Source organism: Homo sapiens, chromosome X (assembly GCF_000001405.40).
Source record: "Homo sapiens chromosome X, GRCh38.p14 Primary Assembly".
In the NCBI taxonomy this organism is placed as follows: domain Eukaryota; kingdom Metazoa; phylum Chordata; class Mammalia; order Primates; family Hominidae; genus Homo; species Homo sapiens.
The window spans coordinates 149,572,304-149,590,078 of NC_000023.11; the positions used below are offsets into that span (position 1 = coordinate 149,572,304).

A 17,775-nucleotide genomic window follows, 5' to 3' on the forward strand; every position below is an offset into this window, starting at 1 on the left:
ACACTGCATGTGATAATCTGCTCCTGCCATCAGTTACCTTTAAAACTACATGTATTGTCAGTGACTTGTTAGCTCCCACAAACCCCCAGGTCATGTTCTCTCTCACAGGACAAATGAATCCTGGAATCAAGAGCCAAAAGAGTCAGGGGACTCAATGCAAAAATCTGACCCGAGAGGAAATTAGAACACTTGTGTCTCTGTGAGGGTGAGAGGGGCCTCCAAAGCTGTCAGTGGCATCTTCCCTGCATTTGTCAAGGAGTCTCCAGAGACATCAGCTGTGTCTTTTGTGTCCCTTCATGGGTTGCCAGAAACTGCCAAGAGAATAAATGACATCAAATACGATTTGAAGATCGAGCTGGCTTTTAAAGTTTTTTCACAATACTAGAATTGGACAACACAACATTCTATAAAATAAAATGAGTGTTCCAGTGAACCGAGCAGAGGAGGTTGGCTTCATAGGCAGAACAGTGCTAAAGAAAGCAGAAATAAGAAAAAAAAATAGAAAGAAAGAAAGCAGATTGGTCATTTCAAATTTACTTTCCACTTAGGGTTAAAGAAGAGGAGACTTCCTTACTATGCTGACTCAGGTTAATTGGAAGATTCTGCACTTTTTTTTTTTTAATTGGCCCCTTGGAAAGCCCTGGATGCTTACGTGGCACTCAGCACAAGTGACCATGTTCTGGTTGGGTGTGGTCAGCTGGGGCTTAGGACAGGAGGCTAGTTCACAGAAATGGCCTCCCCTCCCCTGAAGGTTGTTTCACACAAGCCCCTGAATTAATGAGTCTTTCTAAAGGAGGCTGTGCTAGCTTTCCTAAACAGAACAGTTTCCCCCTTTTCAGTTGTTCTTGAAGAGTTTCCATATTTTGACTTACAGTACTTACCTATTCTTGGATATTATCCACTTTTTCCATTAGGGCCCACAGCGTGTTACTCATACTTGTCTTAAATTCCCAGTCAGATCATTCCAACATCTCTATCATATCTGAGTCTGTTTCTGATACCTGCTCTTTGTCTTCACACTGTGTGTGTGTGTTTTTTTTTTTTTTTTTTGTCTATTAGTATGCTTTGAAATTTCCTTTTGCAAACTTGCCACGATGTGTCAGATGAAAAGAATGGAGTTAAATAGGCCTTTAGTGTGAGGTTTACCTTCATCTGGCTGTGTTTACTGTTTGCTGTAGCTGTAGGTGTCAGAGGCTAAACCTCCCTGTGGTGTCCTTCACTTTTCCTCCTTGGCTGTGTTTGGTTTTCCTTGGAGACCTGCTCACTATGGTCTGGCACTCACAGTTCTTTCAGTTTCATTCCCCAGTTGATGTGGCAGTGAGCTGCAGAGGGAGGGGAAGACTTCTATCCTCCTATGACTACATGGCAGGCTTGAGTCAGTGTACACCGGGCTGTGGCTTTCACTAGTGCTTCTCAGTTTTGTTTTGTTTTCTCCTTGGACAGACATTAAGGGGCCAGAATGTTGTAGCTGGGTGTTTTCCTTACCCAGTGTTGATGAGAGTCTAGAAAAAAACCAAGTAGGACAGACTCTGGTAAAACAGTTTCTCTTGAGGGCAGACCCTCGTTTGAAGAACAGAATACTCTGGGCATATTTTCGAATGACTCCTTTCTCCCTCTGGTCCTCACTGGGGGAACCTGATAGGGCTCCCAGAGGTGAAACTCTGGAAACTGTGGTAGCCTTCTGGATGGTGCCCCCAGGAGTTTTTAGTTCTCAAATTTGTCCATAGTGAGCCCTCCACCATTCGTCTTATAAAGATGAGGTTTTCGTATCCTGGTCCTTGTTTCTGGGCATTCAGCTCCTGAGCTTCTGCTCTCCAAAGTTGTGGCTGACTGTATCTACTGTCTCTTCCGTTTTGGGTCAGCAATCAGCCCTATGGCCTCAGCTCTCTGAGGGATCAGAGAAAAGTTGTTGTTTTCCAATTTGTTCAGCTTCTTATCTTGTTTGCGTCAGAGGCAGAGAGCCATCTAGCTCCTTACATACCCGAGTGAACATAAGCATTTAAGAAAATTGGAAAACTTTTTTAAACATAGCAGTTTTACATAGGTATACATGTGGCATGGTGGTTTGCTGCACCCATCAACCTGTCATCTACATTAGGTATTTCTCCTAATGCTATCCCTCCTCTAGCCCCCCACCCCCTGACAGGCCCCAGTGTATGATGCTCCCCTCCCTGTGTCCATGTGTTCTCATGGTTTAACTCCCACTTATGAGTGAGAACATGCGGTGTTCGGATTTCTGTTCTTGTGTTAGTTTGCTGAGAATGATGGTTTCCAGCTTCATCCATGTCCCTACAAAGGACGTGAACTCATCCTTTTTTATGGCTGCATAGTATTCCATGGTGTATATGTGCCACATTTTCTTTATCCAGTCTATCATTGTTGGACATTTGGGTTGGTACCAAGTCTTTGCTATTGTGAATAGTGCCGCATGGCACGTGGATACCTATGTAACAAACCTGCACGTTCTGTACTATGTAACAAACCTGCAGGTTCTGCACATATACCCCAGAACTTAAAATGTAATAATAGTAATTTAAAATTAAAAGAGATTCCCTGGAAAAAAAATCCCATCTCAATCACTTTGCTCTTTTAGTATCACTTCTTGTGTGCCCTTTCCTCCTTTCCAAATAATCATTTGAGGCCCAGCTGATACAGCATATTATCCTCAAAGGCTTTGTTGACTCCAGCTACACTGTAGATTCTGTACTATACATTCTTGATTTTTTTTACCAAAAAAAAACCCAAAAAACAAAAACAAAAACAAAATAGCCATTTTAATAAAATTAAAAATGAAATGCTTTGGTATATATCTAACAAAACATGTACATATCAGGATGGTGAAAACTACAAAATGCTGATGAAAAATTCAAAGAAGGCCCAACTAAATAGACATAGCATGTACATTCACTGGAAGACTCAGTGAAGATATGTGATCTGTAACAAAGCGATCCATAGATCCAATGTAACTCCAGTAAAATACCAGCAAGCTTTTTTGTACTTGTACACAAGCTGATTCAAAAAGCATACGGAAAGGTAAAGGTTTTGAAATAATTAAAACAATTTTCAAAACACAGAGTAATTGCACAAATCGTACCACTCAATTTTAAGATTTAGCATAAGCCTAAAACAATCAAGTCATTATGGACTTTTCTAAGGGATACACGTATAGATTAATGGATTAAAACAGAGAATCCATAAATAGATCCACGCGAATATAGCAATGGAGGTTTTAGAAAGGGGTAAAGACAATTTATTGGAAAAATATTAGTCTTTTCAATTAGTGGTATTGGAACAACTGAACATCCATGTGTTATAAAAAAGACTTGACCAAAACCTCACATGTTATACAAAAATTAACTCAAAGTGGATTACAGATCCAAATGTTACATGAAATACTATAAAACTTTTAAAGAAGGCCGGGTGCAGTGGCTCACGCCTGTAATCCCAGCACTTTGGGAGGCCGAGGTGGGCAGATCACGAGGTCAGGAGTTCAAGACCAGCCTGGCCAACATGGTGAAACCCCATCTCTAGTAAAAATATAAAAATTAGCTGGGCGTGGTGGTGCGCACCTGCAATCCCAGCTACTCGGGAGGCTGAAGCAGGAGAATCGCTTGAACCCGGGAGGCGGAGGTTGCAGTGAGCCGAGATCCTGCCATTGCACTCCAGCCTGGGCAATAGAGTGAGACTCCGTCTCAAAAAACAAACAAACAAACAAACAAACAAACAACAACAGCAAGAAAAAACTTAAAGAAAACACAGGGTGAAATATTAGTAGCCTGATGTGAGGCAAAGAGGTCTTAAACATGACACCAGCAGTGTGATTCATAAAGAAAAGAAACAATAAATTAGACTTCCTCAGAGTTAAAACTTTTGCTCTGAGAAAGACACTGAAGAGACACTAAAAAGCCAAACGAAGTATTCACAAGTATTTGCAAATCATATATACACCAAAGGCCTTTTATGAAAATTGTATAAAGATTCCCAAAATCTCAAAACTTAGAACACATGTCAAAACACAAAGTTTCACCAAATTTTGTTCAAAGATCTAACTGGCTTTTCTTTATGATTCTTGAATGGGCATTTTTTCTCTCCGTCAACTTGAATGAGTGTCCCTATGTGCTGAGCAAAAGACGTTGGCTTATAGGCAGAAGAGGACGAAAAAAGTAGAAACAGGGAACAAAAGGTGGTTTGGTGATTTCAAAGTTGATTTCCTTGTAGGATTAAAGCAGAGAAAACTTTCTTATCGTGCCTGCTCAGGTACGGTGGGCTCCTCGTTATTGGTTGCTGTGACTATTCTGTTTTTAGTTTTTTGAGAACTGGCCCGTTTCAATGTTCACTTTGATGAATGGCAATTAGTACAAGGGACACTATTCTGATTTTGTCTGTTCTGCTGGGGTCTGGGGCCAGAGATTAGGGCAAAACAATGGCCTCCCATGAGTTCATTTAACACAAACAACCACATTTTTTAGAAGGGCAAAACATATCAATAGACATTTCACCCAAAAGGACATACGCATGACAAATAAGCCCATGAAAAACTATTCTACATCACAGCTATTAGAGAAATGCAAATTAAACCATGATCAGATGCCATAACACATATTTGAAAATGACTGAAATTTTTAACGAGATACTTGTAAGTGCTAACAAGGATGAAGAACAACTTGAAATTTCATACATTGCTAGTGGCAGTTATGAAACGGGACAACTGCAGAAAATGATTTGGTAATTACTTATGAACACATGCCATGTGACTCAGCGATTTCATCTAAGGGAAAAAGAAAAATTTATGTTCACACAAAAGCCTATGTACGTGAATGTTTATAGCAGCTCCAGTCATATTTGCCAAAACCTGGAAATTATACAAATGTATTTCCATGGGTAAATGGGAAATGAAATTTTGGGGCATCCTTACTTACTATGAAATACTTCTCAGCAATGAAAAAGAATGAACTACTGATACACACAACAATGTGTTTCAAACTCGAAGGTGTTTTGCTGTGTGAAAGGAGCCAGTCTCAACCAGTTACATATTCTATTATTCTGTTTACCTGGCATTCTTGAAAGAGAAAACTGAAACGATGGAGTACAGATGAGTGGCTGTCAGGGTTCGGCGCGCAGTGGTGGGTACAGCTATAAATGAATTGCACATGGAGGGGGTTTCTTTTGGGGAGAAGACGTAATAATCTTAACTATTAATTCACCTAAAAGCAGAGCTTCAAAATGCAAGAAACTACATCTGATAGAACTGCAAGGATAAATCGCCAAATCTACAATGATATTTGGAGATGGCAACAGTCCTCTCCAAGTAAATGATTGAAGTAGACAGAAATTCTGCAAGGGTGTAGGAGGAGCTGAACAACAAAGAACAAATGTGAGCTGATTAGATTTTAGTGAGCACTCCTCAGAACGACGGTAGATTATATGGTATTTTCAAGTGTGTGTGGAATTTTTACCAAAAGAGACCAGAAAACAACCCATAAAAAATTTAAAATAATTGGAATTGTACAAAGTATCTTTTTAAAATCTATAATGGAATGTAATTCAAAATATAACAAAGGAAATATCTGTAAAGTCCTTAAGTATTTTTAAAATAAACAACACATTTTTACTAATCCATGTTTAAAAAAATTCTTGAGGAAGGTTAGAAAATATTTTCAAATAAATAAAAATGGAAATGTGATGTTTTAAAATATCTGCAATTTAGCTAAAATGTGCCTAGGGGACATTTTATGTACTGAAATGTTTATATTAGAAAGTAATAAAAGACTCAAATATGTATATTTTGATCTCAAATAGCTAGAAAAGGAAAAGGAAATTAAACCTAAGGTGAGCAAAACGATGGGGATAATATAGACAAGAAGAGAAAAATTAATGAAATTGAGATTTCAGAAGTTTTAGAAAAACAATAAATAATACTGATGGAATCAAAAGTTAGATCTTTAAGTAGATCAGACAAGCCGAAAGGCCCGAAGTCAATCTGAGAAATTTAAAACACATGGGTTTGGGCCAGGTGCAGTGGTTCAAGCCTGTAATCCCAGTACTTCTTGAGGCAGAAGCAGGCAGATCCGTTGAGGCCAGGAGTTCAAGACCAGCCTGGCCAAGATGGTGAAACCCTGTCTCTACTAAAAATACAAAAATTAGCCAGGCGTGCGGTGCATGCCTCTAATACCAGCTATTCGGGAGACTGAGGTACGAAAATGGCTTGAGCCTGGGAGGCAGGGATTGCAGTGAGCTGTGATCTTGCCACTGCACTCCAGCTTGGGCAACAGAGTGAGTCTCTGTCTCACAAAACAAAGCCAAACCCCAGAAAACGTGGTTTTGGAGAAGCAACAGCGTTGAACACAGCTAGAAGTAGAGGACACTTTACAGAAACTATTAACTGTTGTGACAACAACAATGTTTCTTAGAGAAGTTTCTGAGAAGACCAGATTTGCCTTGAAATGCTCGACGTGTCTGCTATGTTACAGATGCTTTCAAACGTATTAACCCAGGGGTCCCCAACACCCCCGGCCATGGATAGGAACTGGGCTGCACAGCAGGAAGTGAGTGGTTGGGCAAGCAGGTGAAGCTGAACTCCACCTCCTGTCACGTCAGTGGCGACATTAGATTCTCATAGGAGCGGGAACCCTATTGTGAACTGCACACGTGAGGGGTCTAGGTTTTGTGTTCCTGATGAGAATCTAACGCTTGATGATCTGTTACTGTCTCCCATCACCCCCAGATGGGACCATCTATTTGCAGGAAAACAAGCTCAGGGCTCCCACTGATTCTGCACGACGGTGAGTATGCAATAATAATAGAAATAAAGTGCGCAATAAATGTAATGTGCTTGAATCATCTTGAAACAATGCCCCACCCCCACCCCGTGCTCATGGAAAAATTGTCTTCCAGAAACCGGTCCCTGGTGCCAGGAAGGGTGGGGATCACTGCATTAACCCATCTGATTTGAAGAGGATCCTGTAAGGTCAGCATGGAGAGTTCACCTTGTACACTCCATAGCATTTTCTGCACTTCCCTTTGCCACACCATCTATCAGCTCAGGAAGCTGAGGATTTCCTCCTTCCATCTGATGCAGGGGCAGAATCTTACCCATCATCTCTGCTACCCTCCATATGACTGTTCTTACCTGAACACCTGTATAGGTGCCACTAGTCACGCTGAAAGCCGGCATGTTCCTGGGGACAGATGCCAGACAGGAAGCAGTGAAAGGCTGGTTAAATATTCTTTTGAAACTCCAGCTGGCATGTTCGCCATGGAACCATTTTTCCCCTCCTGGGAGGAGCCCAGGGTTTGTAAGAATTCAGCTTCATGAAATGGCTGCTCCTCTTCTACCTCTTAGGAGGGGAATTTCTGAGCACCATCCGTCTGTTTGCGTGTTCTGTCCCCAGCTTCAGATAACAAACTCAATAAAATCCTACTACAAATATGCAACTGACTGCGAAAATACTCTCTCAATCCTGGGGGCTGCAACCCAACCAGGAGCTTATGGGTCAAATTGGACTCTTCTCACAGCCCACTGGGAATACACAGAGTAGAATTCTCCCAGGGAGGGAGGACCAAGTGTCTAAAGTCACCGTCCAGAATGGTTGCGGCTGTGGGACTGGACTAAGGGCGAGCCGTGCGAGAACCAGGGGACTACTTCAAGGGCTAGGAATGCTCCATGTTGCAGGAAGGGCAGGGGGGTCTGCCCAGCCTCCAGGGGGAGGCAACAGTGAAGAGCAAGCAGCAGGTCAGGTCGCAGAGTCAGAAGGGAGGAAACATGATAGTGACCGGGGAAGGGCACTGTGACACGGGAACGTGCTGATGCCAGACAGAAGTGCTGATTATGTATTCGTCCCTTGTGCCCAGGAAAGAGAAGATCAAAGATGTGGATGAGCATTTGTAGGCGCTCCTACAACCTGTTGCATAGTAGGTGCTCAACAGGCAGCACCCAGCAGACAGTTCCCAGGGGACCCCCGGCATGCCATCCCCAAATTGTATTTGATGCTCATTGGCACCTTCTTTAGGCCTGCATTTAGTACCTTGGCCTCAGGGTCCTTCTTTTTGTTGCCTGAGAGACATGATGCATTGCTGAGAAGAGGAATGAAGTGCCAGTGAGGAGGTCTGCCTCCGGCTCAGGGGAGTGGGAACAGCACGGGCTCTAGAGGAATTCAGATCAGGGATCCGGTTCCAGCTCTGTTCCTTACTAGCCACCTGATCCTGGGAAATACCCAAGTTCTGTGAGCCTCTGGTTCTTCATCTGTGAAGCAGGTATGATGAGGCCCTTCCACTAGGACGGTTAGAGTGCGTGCAATGTAAGTGAAGCATCTGGCTCAGGGCCTGGCATTAAGTTAGAAGTTTAAGGAATGGCGGATGGCTGTCATATCTAATACTATTTGACCCTAGACCCTAGCACTCTGGGATTTCGTAAATGTTGTTGTTCTCCAAGACTTACCAGAGAATATACAGCTCAGTAGGACATGGGATAATCAGCCCCAACAGGAAGTTTCGTCAATAAAATTAAGTATTTCCTCTTAGCGAAGGTGCTTCAAAATTTGGGTGTGCTGCAGTCTTGCGCAGCTGAATGCAGCTCAAAGCTCCTAGAATTTGAATCGAGGATCAACTCCTTTCCTCTCTCCCACCTGCTTTTGGATCCGAGACTCTGTTTTCACTTATTTTGTTAACACTCGAAATCTAGCCTTTGCTCACAATTGGTCAAATCCCACCTGAGATAACTTGATTAGAATGCCTTTTAAATACGATCAACTCTGGCTCTCCCAGACAGGCAGAAAAGCACCTGGCCAATGACTTCTGGGCTTCCCTTCTGGGAGATTCACCCTCATCTTGCAGGAAACCCTTGCAGATGATAGGTATCCATCACCTAGCCCCTGCACTGTGTTCAAGCGCACCGAGACAAGAGCGCGGGACGATTTCCTTCTATTCCTGCCCCAGGTGGAGACTCTTCTCTGTTCATCCACTATCCAAAAGGAACTGCTGAGCAGTCGTCCATTCCAGGCCTTTCTCTCATCCTCTGAGAATCTGGCTCTGGCACCACCCAGCTTCAATAGAATTACCTCCCCCAGAAGGAACTGCAGTTTCCCAAAGCCCAAAGGGCCCTGGCTCAGGGCATATACACTCGACTGCTGTCATCTAGAGCCCCAAACCCTCACCCATGTTTTATTTTCCTCTACTTCTTAGAGGACATGGCACCACCTTAATTTTAGGATTGTAGCCCCTAGACTTCACCACCCTATGGCAAAGGGGTGGGTCTGGCTTACCGAGCATCTCTACTACTAACCCAGGGTGTTCCGAATAACAGATGTTCAGTGCGTGTCTGAAGAAAAAATGAGCCAGTGAACAGGAAAAATTATTCTTTCAATTTTTATTTCTCTTACATGCTCAAAGAAGCCAAGCAAATCCAGGTATACATGTATATATTTTAATTTTACAGGAGAGAGAAAGAGGTATAAGGCAAGAATTAACTACATTTTCATTTCACTATTTCTTTATGAGCTCTATTTTGCTGCTAAGTTCAAGTTTCAAAAAAATTATTAATTCCTCTGCTATGTTATCTTGTCCCAATTCACAAAATAACAGGGATTTCCCCATGTGACTCAAAAGCAAGAATCTTACTCCTAAATAACATAAACAGCAATATGTGTGACTACTGTCATTCATTAACTTCGATGGTGAAGTTCATTAAACTGACCATTAAAAGAACATTTGAACAATTCCAAAAGGGAGCAAGGATAAATCTCCAAATCACCCAATAGACAAGGAACCCAGAGATGACATACAGTGTGCTCACTTCCACCCACTGCCACTGAGAACACTGATTGCTCTCTTCAAACACAGAGCCAAGAATGGGCCTCATGTCACATGGGGCAGGGCAGCTGCTGGATGGGGCCCTGACCCCACAAACTTTGGCCCCGGCTGCGGCTGGTGCTCAGACTCCCTCTTGCTCCTCTCCCAAAACCTCTTCATAAAGGGATGGGTAGCAGATGGGCTCTCTTGCATTGAGCATGACCAAATAATTTATGACCTTCTCATAGCTGGTTTCAGCGTGGGCCTTGGAACCCCACAGGAACTCGTAGTGCGCAGGATCACTGCCGGGCACCTGCCGGTACTCCAGGTAGTTTTCCTGCACCCAATCTTGGGTGAGCAGCTTCCTGGGCTCCCCGTAGAACATGTGCTCCTTCCCAACATACACCCCCATCACACTCAACGCTTCCCAGATAACCTCTTCAGGGGCGCAGTTGTCTTTGGTTAGGATCACACCCAGGACAATGATCAGGAGGGCGGCCTTGGGCATGCTATGACCATCACCCAGCATGCTATCGCACGAGAGGCCAAGAGCAGTGACAAGGATGTAGGAGTGGCCGGCGGGGTCCACCTCCTTCACATCAGTGCCAAAGATCACCTGCATGAACTCGGAGGCTTTGCCGAAGATCACAGGAAAGTAGCGCTTGTAATTTTTGATGACGCTCTCCAGCATTTCTGCCTTTGTGACCGGCTCCTTGACTCGATATTTGTGGAGCAGGAAATGAACCAACTCAGCCACCTTCAATTTCAGTGCTTCTTGGAACATGAACTCCAGCTGAGCTGGGTCGACCGAGGAGCTTGGCTCTTCCTCTTCTTGACTGCTGGAGCCCTCATCGAATTGGCTCCATAAAGTGTAGTAGACGGAAATGGAGGAGGAAGCGCCTCCCTGAGGACTCTGGGGAGGACTTGATGACCCAGCAGCAGACACCTCCTCCTCCTTGCTGTCAGAGGAGGAGGTAGTCTCCTCCTCCTCGCCTGTGGGTTCCTGTGCACCCATCAGGCCCAAGTCCTCTCCTTGGGCTTCAAGGTCTTCATCAGGCTTGCAGTGCGGACTCCTCTGCTCGAGAGACATGATGACTCTGGTCAGGGCAGCAGTCAGGAGCGTGGGCAGGAGCTGGGCGATGGAGACCCACAGGCCTGGGGAGAGAGGGAGTGTGTGAGAGACTTCAGCTGAGAACCGAACCTTGGAGGTTCTAACAAAGGCTGACTTACAGGTCTTCGTCAGTGCTGCTCTGGGGCCTCTTGGGGCTCCTGTCCTCCTGGTTAGCCTGTCCCGAGAACCTGAGGGAGGAAGTGAGAGGGCTACTCAGCGTGCAGCTAGCCTGCAGAGATCAAGGCTCTATGAGTGACAGTAGGGGGAATGGGGCCAGGTGCTATGGGGTCCCATGTGTGCTGGGGCAGGTGGGGCCCTTGGTGCACATTCAGGGTGAACACTTCACCTTCACTGCTGACACTGCCTGGGTCTCCTCTGCTCTGCGACCTGAGGACACTGTCTCAGACCAAGGCCTGCCTGCTTCCTGGAGCTCCTGGAAGAGGAATCGAGGGGCCCTTAGGCTGCAGACTGCAGGCAGAGCCCCGGTCCCTCAGTGCTGTCAAGAGGGCGGGCTGGACACTCTTGAGTTCTACACACTTTTGGGGTGGATGGTCCCCTCTGCGCTCACTCAGGGCCCTGACCTTTCTCCTGGCAGGGACTGGACTCTACTCCTCTACTTGCCTGAGAGTCTCTCAGATCAGGAGCTCACATCCCTGATATGGAACAGAAGGACATGCCCCAACCAACATCTGCCCACACCTGCCCAGGGTTTCCTCGGAAGTACAGTAAGAGATGTCTAAATTCAATGGGGTCCATGTGTCCTGGGGTGAGGATACTGCCTGGTCCTCATCTTGATGCCTGCAGGGTCTGGAACCCTCCCTCTGTTGACCTGAGGCCCTATCTCCAGGAGACACCTGAAGAGGAAGTGAGGGGAGTCCATCCACCCAGCGGCTTCCCTCAGCTGACACAAGGGGCAGGGTGGGGCTAGGTCCTCTGTGTTTGGTGAGTGGGGTCCCCTCAGTCTGCACCTGGACTCCTGGCAGGGCCTGGGACCCTCCCTCTGCTGACGTGAGTGCAGCCCCCTCAGACCAAGGCCAGCCCTCCCCGACACCAGTGATCCCAGGATAAAGGAGGGACCTCAGCAGACAGCCCTGCCCGGGCTCTCTGGGGTGACAGTAGGGGCAGGGCAAACTCTCTTGATCTGAGAGTTTCTCTGGCCTGGAGGTACCCTCGATCCTCCCTTAGGTTCCTCACCTGGACTGCTCTCCAATCCTGGGACCACTGTGTCTGTCGAACACAGGGCCTCCCTGTTTTGTCCACACACACCCTCTGAGAACAAAGTCCTCACCTCCCTGAGATCCAGAAACAGAGGTGAGGAGGCCCCACATATGTCACCCCTGCGTGGGGTGTCCGGGGCTGACCCCACCAGCTGAACCCTTCAGGTATGAGGTGGGTGTTCCAAAGTCCTCCTGCGGGTTATTCATCTTTACTCCTGCTGGGGCTTCTACTTCCTCGACCCTCAAACCCTTGAGATGAGCAGACATCTCCCTTTACACCAACGCCTCATCCCCCTGAGGGTTCCTCAACTTCCTGCCATGGTACAAATGAGCTTGCCACTTAGCACCATCCTTGATCAGGCCCCCCCCCGCCCCCAGATCTAAGAACAGAGTTCACCTAGACTCTGTGGGGTGGCTTCTTTCTGCGTTGGGGGTACCTCCATTCCTCATGAAGGGGGCACACCTTGGGTCCTGCTGATCCTGGGAGTCCTCCTTCTACTGACCAGGTGTGGAGCCCTCTGTTGGATCTCTCAGTGCCCCCTGGGATCAAGGTACTCACCTCCCTGAGACCTCTCACCCCCAGTCACGTGGGAGAAATGAGAGCATGCCTCATGCCATTCCTGCCTGGGGCCACCTGGGGCTGAGAACAGGTGACACCAGTGTCTGTGAGGTCCTTTCTTTTTTGAGAGCGTGGAGGTACCTTCTTACCTTCAGTCCTCACCAAACTTCCTCCCCGTCACTCCTGGAAGACCCTGGATTCCACCCTGTGCTGACCAGGTGTGGCTCCCTCTGCTGAGCTGAGGAAACCCCTCGGACCAAGGCCCCCACCTCCCGGAGACCCGGGAGGCAGAAGTGAGGGGCCACCTCATGGTCACTCATGCATGAGATACCCAAGGCTGACCAAAGGAGCAGGTTCCAGGGGGCCTCGTCGGTCTGGGTGTCCTCTAGGTATTCATATTTGCTTCTGACAGAATCTGGCCCCTTCCATTTTGCTGAACCAGAGGTGAGTCTTGCAGACCAAGGCCAATTTCTCCCTTAGACCCTCTTTGAGAAAGTGTGTGTTGGGGGTGGAGGGGGCACTTCCCTTCCTCACCGTCCTGCCTGGGGCCTTCCAAGACTGACGGCAGGGGCAGGTTTCCTAGGTCTGGGATGAGAGGTCTGGTGAATCCTTCCTCAGGCCTCTGGGACTCCTCCTTCTGCTCACCTGAGGCCCCACTCCTCATACCACAGCCCTGTTCCCATTGACACCCGATCCCACCAGCCACAATGCACCACATGCGGCCACCGTGCCCGGGATCGCCCAGGCCAAGATCCCCACTGAGCTGGACTCCGGGGTCCCCTCTGTCCTCCGTCTTGTTCCTTCCCTGGTCTCCTAGAGGGCTGGGCCCCACCCCTCTGTGGACCTGAGTCTCTATCTGTCGGATTCCCGAGGCTGAATGAGGAGGGGCCTCGGTCTCAGATAGGGGCGGGGTGGGCCCCTTGTCCTGGGGTACTGGGTCCCCTCAGGCCTCCCTTGTCTCCCAGCAGGACCTGGGCCCTCCCTCTGTTCTCCCGCGGCCACGCTAACGATACCAAGCCCCTTCCCTCGGTCAGCCCAGGATGCAGATATCACGATCCGCTTGCCTGACCGCCATGCCCGGAACTTCCCAGGGTCCACTGCAGGGGCAGTGACTCCCTCTATGGGGCCTCAGCCCTCCCTCAGGGTCCTGGCCCTGATGCCTGGCAGAGCCTGGCCCCTGCCCTCTCTTAACCAGTCCTGCCCTGGTCACACCAAGCTCTGACCCAGAGTCCCCTGGGGCTTAAGTGGTGGGGTGGCGAAGGGTGGCCCACAGCCTGAGAAGTCCGCCCCCGGGGTGGTTCAGGGCTGGCAGCAGGGGTGCTGCTGGATTATTTGGGGCCCTCTATCTGGGGTGGGGGCGTCCTCAGTCCTCCCTCAGCGTCTCATCTTGCCTCCTCACAGAGCCTGGGCCCGCTTCCCTCTGCCGATCTTCAGCCACCACTCAGAACCAAGCCCTTGCTACTCTCTGACCCCCAGTGCGCAAGTCAGAGGCCTTACATCCGGGCACCCGGAGCTTCCCTGGGTTGACAGCAGGAGCCGAACCGGATTCTGCCACGGGAGACTTGGGGGTGGGGTGGAGTGGGGGGGGGGTGAGGATGGAGGTGGGGAACCTGAGGCTGTAGGTCATGGTGGTGGTGGCTGGGTTAGGGGTGTGGAGGCGTTCAGCCCTCCCTCAGGGTTCTGACCTTGATGCCAGTCAGAGCCTGGGCCCAGCCTGATACGCCCGACCCCGCGGGGTGGTCCAGGGCTGGCACAGGGGCGGCGCTGTATTATTTGGGGTCCTCTATCTGGGGCGGGGGGTCTTGAGTCCTCCCTCAGGGTCTCACCTTGCCTCCTCACAGAGCCTGGGCCCGCTTCCCTCCACCGATATCGACCCGCCCCTCACAGCGAGGCCCCCGCTACTCTCTGACCCCCAGTGTGGGAGTCACTGGCCGTACATCCGGGCACCTGGGGCTTCCCTGGGTTGACAACAGGGGCGGAACCAGATTCTGCCGCGGGAGAGTTGGGGGGGTGGGGTGGAGTTTGGGGTGGGGTGGGGTGGGGTGGGGTGGGGTGTAGAGTGGAGCTGAGGATGGGGCTGGGGAACCTGGGGCTGTAGGTCATGGTTGGGTTGGGGGGGCCCAGCCTCCCTCAGGGTCCTGGCCTTGATGCCCGGCAGAGCCTGGGCCCTGCCCTCTCCTAACCAGCCCTGCCCTGGTCACACCAAGCTCTCACTCCAGAGTGCCCAGCAGCTTGAGCGGCGGAGGGAGGGGGTCGGCCCAGCCTCACAAGTCAGCCCCAGATCGGCCCCCGGGTGGTCCAGGGCTGGGAGCAGAGACGGCACTTGGTTCTTTCGGGTCCTCTATCTGGGGTGGGGACATCCTCAGTCTTCCCTCAGCACCTCACCTTGACTCCTCACAGAGCCTCGGCCAGCTTACCTCCACCGGTATCAAGCCGCCCCTCAGAAGGAGGCCTCTCCCTTCTCTCTGACCCCCAGTGCGCACGTCAGTGACGTCACATCCGGCCCCCAAGCCTGGAGCTTCCCTGGGTTGCCAGTAGGGGCTGAACCGGGTTCTGGCGGAGTAGGGGTGGGGATGGGGATAGGGGCCCTCAGTCATCCCTCAGGGGGTCCTGACCTTGATGCCTGGGTCTCGATCCCCATTCTCTGCCCATTGGGTCTGCTCCTCTCGGACCAAGTCTCTGACTCCCAGTCACATGAGGTGGCAGTGAGGGGAGGGGTGTGGTCGGGGTGACAACATTGCCAGGGTCTTCCAGGGCTGACAGGAAGGGCTGAGCTGGATTCTGTGGCCCCTCTATGTGGGGAGGTTGGACCTTCAGTCCCCTCTCAGGAGGGTTCTCCTCCTGGCTCCTGGCTCTTTGATGAAGTGATGTGTGGGAGATGATCTGTTTATGTCACCTTTGAGCATTTGCCCAGCTGCACGCGTTGCAGAGAATGGCTGCGGGTCCCAGGCTAGATGCTCCCTGGGGGGCTGCAGCACCTGTGATTGTAGGACCTGTGAGAGAAGATGCACACCATCCCATGGGGGCTCCTCCCCAGCCAGAGCTAGACTTTGCAAACCTTTTGTCCTAAAAGATTTATTTTTACACGGAAGAGGCTGAGCAGCAGCAAGAGATTTGGAGAAGCCATGTGTTTTGAAGGTATCGAACACAGCAGAGTCCAGATTAGCGATTTTCATATTTTAATTCTCATTCACATGGTAATAAATTTTACACTGTATGTGTACATTATATATGGTATTGTACATTTTGTTTATATCTACGTTTATATACATACCTGTTTTAGACATTATATACATCTATGCTTATATGTATACATACACGCATATATATCTTTATATCTTATATTTACTTACATGTATATATCTTTAGCTACATATTCGTTTGTATTTCTAGACTTTATACTATATATATGCACACATATTTTATTAATATCTACTCATAGTATGTGGCCTTCACACATACTTACTATTCTATTCCTAGTTCATTCTTTATATTCCATTAAAATAATAATTTTTTGGAAGGCTGGTCTTCTCCTACTAAGTTTGTTTCAGGTGGTTGTTAGCAGAACTCTGGAGCCATAGTGTCTCAATCAACTCAAATTTCCTGGTGTCCTGATATTACTCCAGGGCTACTGGCATCAGATTTTGTGGTGCTGCCTCAGATTGCGCGATGATGTGGGGTGGAATGTTAAACACTTTCTCCTATCCATCCTGTAATCTGCCATCTATGCAGGGTACAGACCTCCTCGATTTCCCTGCTGCTCCCTGGACCCAAAACACAAGTACTAGTTTAGCACAGTCTTCAGTCATCCCCAGGGCTTTCTCTGTTTTGATGGGTTTTTTTTTTTAATCTTTTCCCTCCTATATTTTTTCCGGGGTTGATTTGGGGAGCAGAGCACAGCAACCTGAGCTTGGTTGTCACTTTGGCAATGACAGTTAAGGCACTCACTCTGTATTTAATTTAAGTAGCATTTACATCTTTGCCATATTCTGTTCCCCATCAAGGAATATGGTATACAGATCCATTTACTTGAGATTATTTCCTGAGTCTATCAGCAACTTTGCACAGTTGCTTCCATAAAGGTCTTGTCAGGCTCTTCTTATTTACATTTTGGATTTTAATGCTGCTGTGAATGGTGCATTTTCTATTTTCTATTTTATATACTAAGTTGCTTTTGTGTGGCAAGGCTCTTGATTTTGCTTTAATGACCTTCTGTATGATGTTTTCTGAAGTCTTTTATTCATTTGAATATTCAATGTGTCTATTCCTTTGAATTTTCTATGTAGATAATCATATAGTTAACAAATACTCTATTTCTTTGCAGTCTTCATATCTCATTTTCATCTTGACATCCATAGCTCTGGCTCTTTTTCATTTTGATATTCACTGCAGATGTAGGTGGTAGTGGTGACAGCATATGTCAACGACTTGTCACTGCCGTGAATGGCAGAGCTTCTGACATTTCACATTTATGTATGCTTGCTGCCAATTTTAGGAAATGGAAGTTCCTTTTAATGTTAGTTTGCTAAACATTGTTAATTTGTACTTACATAGAATTCATTTCAGAGCCTTTTCCTGTACCCATTGTCATGACTGAATGTTTTTTTCTAGTCTATCTTGTATGCAGGGAGTTAGAATTGAATTTTTTTCTAACATTTAATCCTATTTTTATTCCATGCATACAGGCAGCTTGTTCGTTTAATCCACTGTTGTGTTGGATATGTGATTATCTGTTTATGACATTTGCTGCGATGTGTGTGAACACTTGCCTCACAAATTCTTTTCATGAGTGCTCGGGTGCCTTCATCTGTTTATGAATCTAGGAGAGCGAGCCTGGGAGAATGAGTTAAACAATTGCCCATTTTGGATGCATTGGAAGAGTTGAGATAAGATGGTGATTCATTTTCCCTTGCCACTTGGCTGAACTGGCCTCCAAAATTTCCTGTCCTGGAATATTTGAGGGTAGATTGAACTTTGAATACACTTTCAGTTTGTGGAAGTACCATTGGTTTTATCCATTCACCTCTTCAAGGACATCTTGGTTGGTGATTATGAATAAACTACTAATACATTCGTGTACACGATTTTCCATGTGAGAACCA

The 17,775-nt window shown here is 47.6% G+C and overlaps 1 protein-coding gene across 5 annotated transcripts; it reads right to left on the reverse strand.

Moving 5' to 3' along the window:
• Positions 1-9,349: 9,349 nt before the first annotated feature.
• On the reverse strand, positions 9,350-15,208 carry MAGEA9B (MAGE family member A9B). Of its 5 annotated transcripts, none has more exons than XM_024452436.2 (4): positions 15,059-15,208; positions 11,244-11,330; positions 11,017-11,085; positions 9,350-10,941 (listed from the first exon to the last, which is right to left on the reverse strand). In XM_024452436.2, exon 4 carries the CDS (start codon positions 10,874-10,876, stop codon positions 9,929-9,931), a length of 948 nt encoding a protein of 315 aa, XP_024308204.1. In that variant the 5' UTR covers positions 10,877-10,941; positions 11,017-11,085; positions 11,244-11,330; positions 15,059-15,208; the 3' UTR covers positions 9,350-9,928. The 5 variants fall into 5 exon arrangements, with proteins under 5 accessions (XP_024308204.1, NP_001074259.1, XP_005278249.1 ...); NM_001080790.1 differs by having other exon boundaries at positions 15,091-15,156; XM_005278192.4 differs by lacking the exon at positions 15,059-15,208 and adding an exon at positions 14,500-14,602.
• Between the last annotated feature and the right edge of the window lie 2,567 nt (positions 15,209-17,775).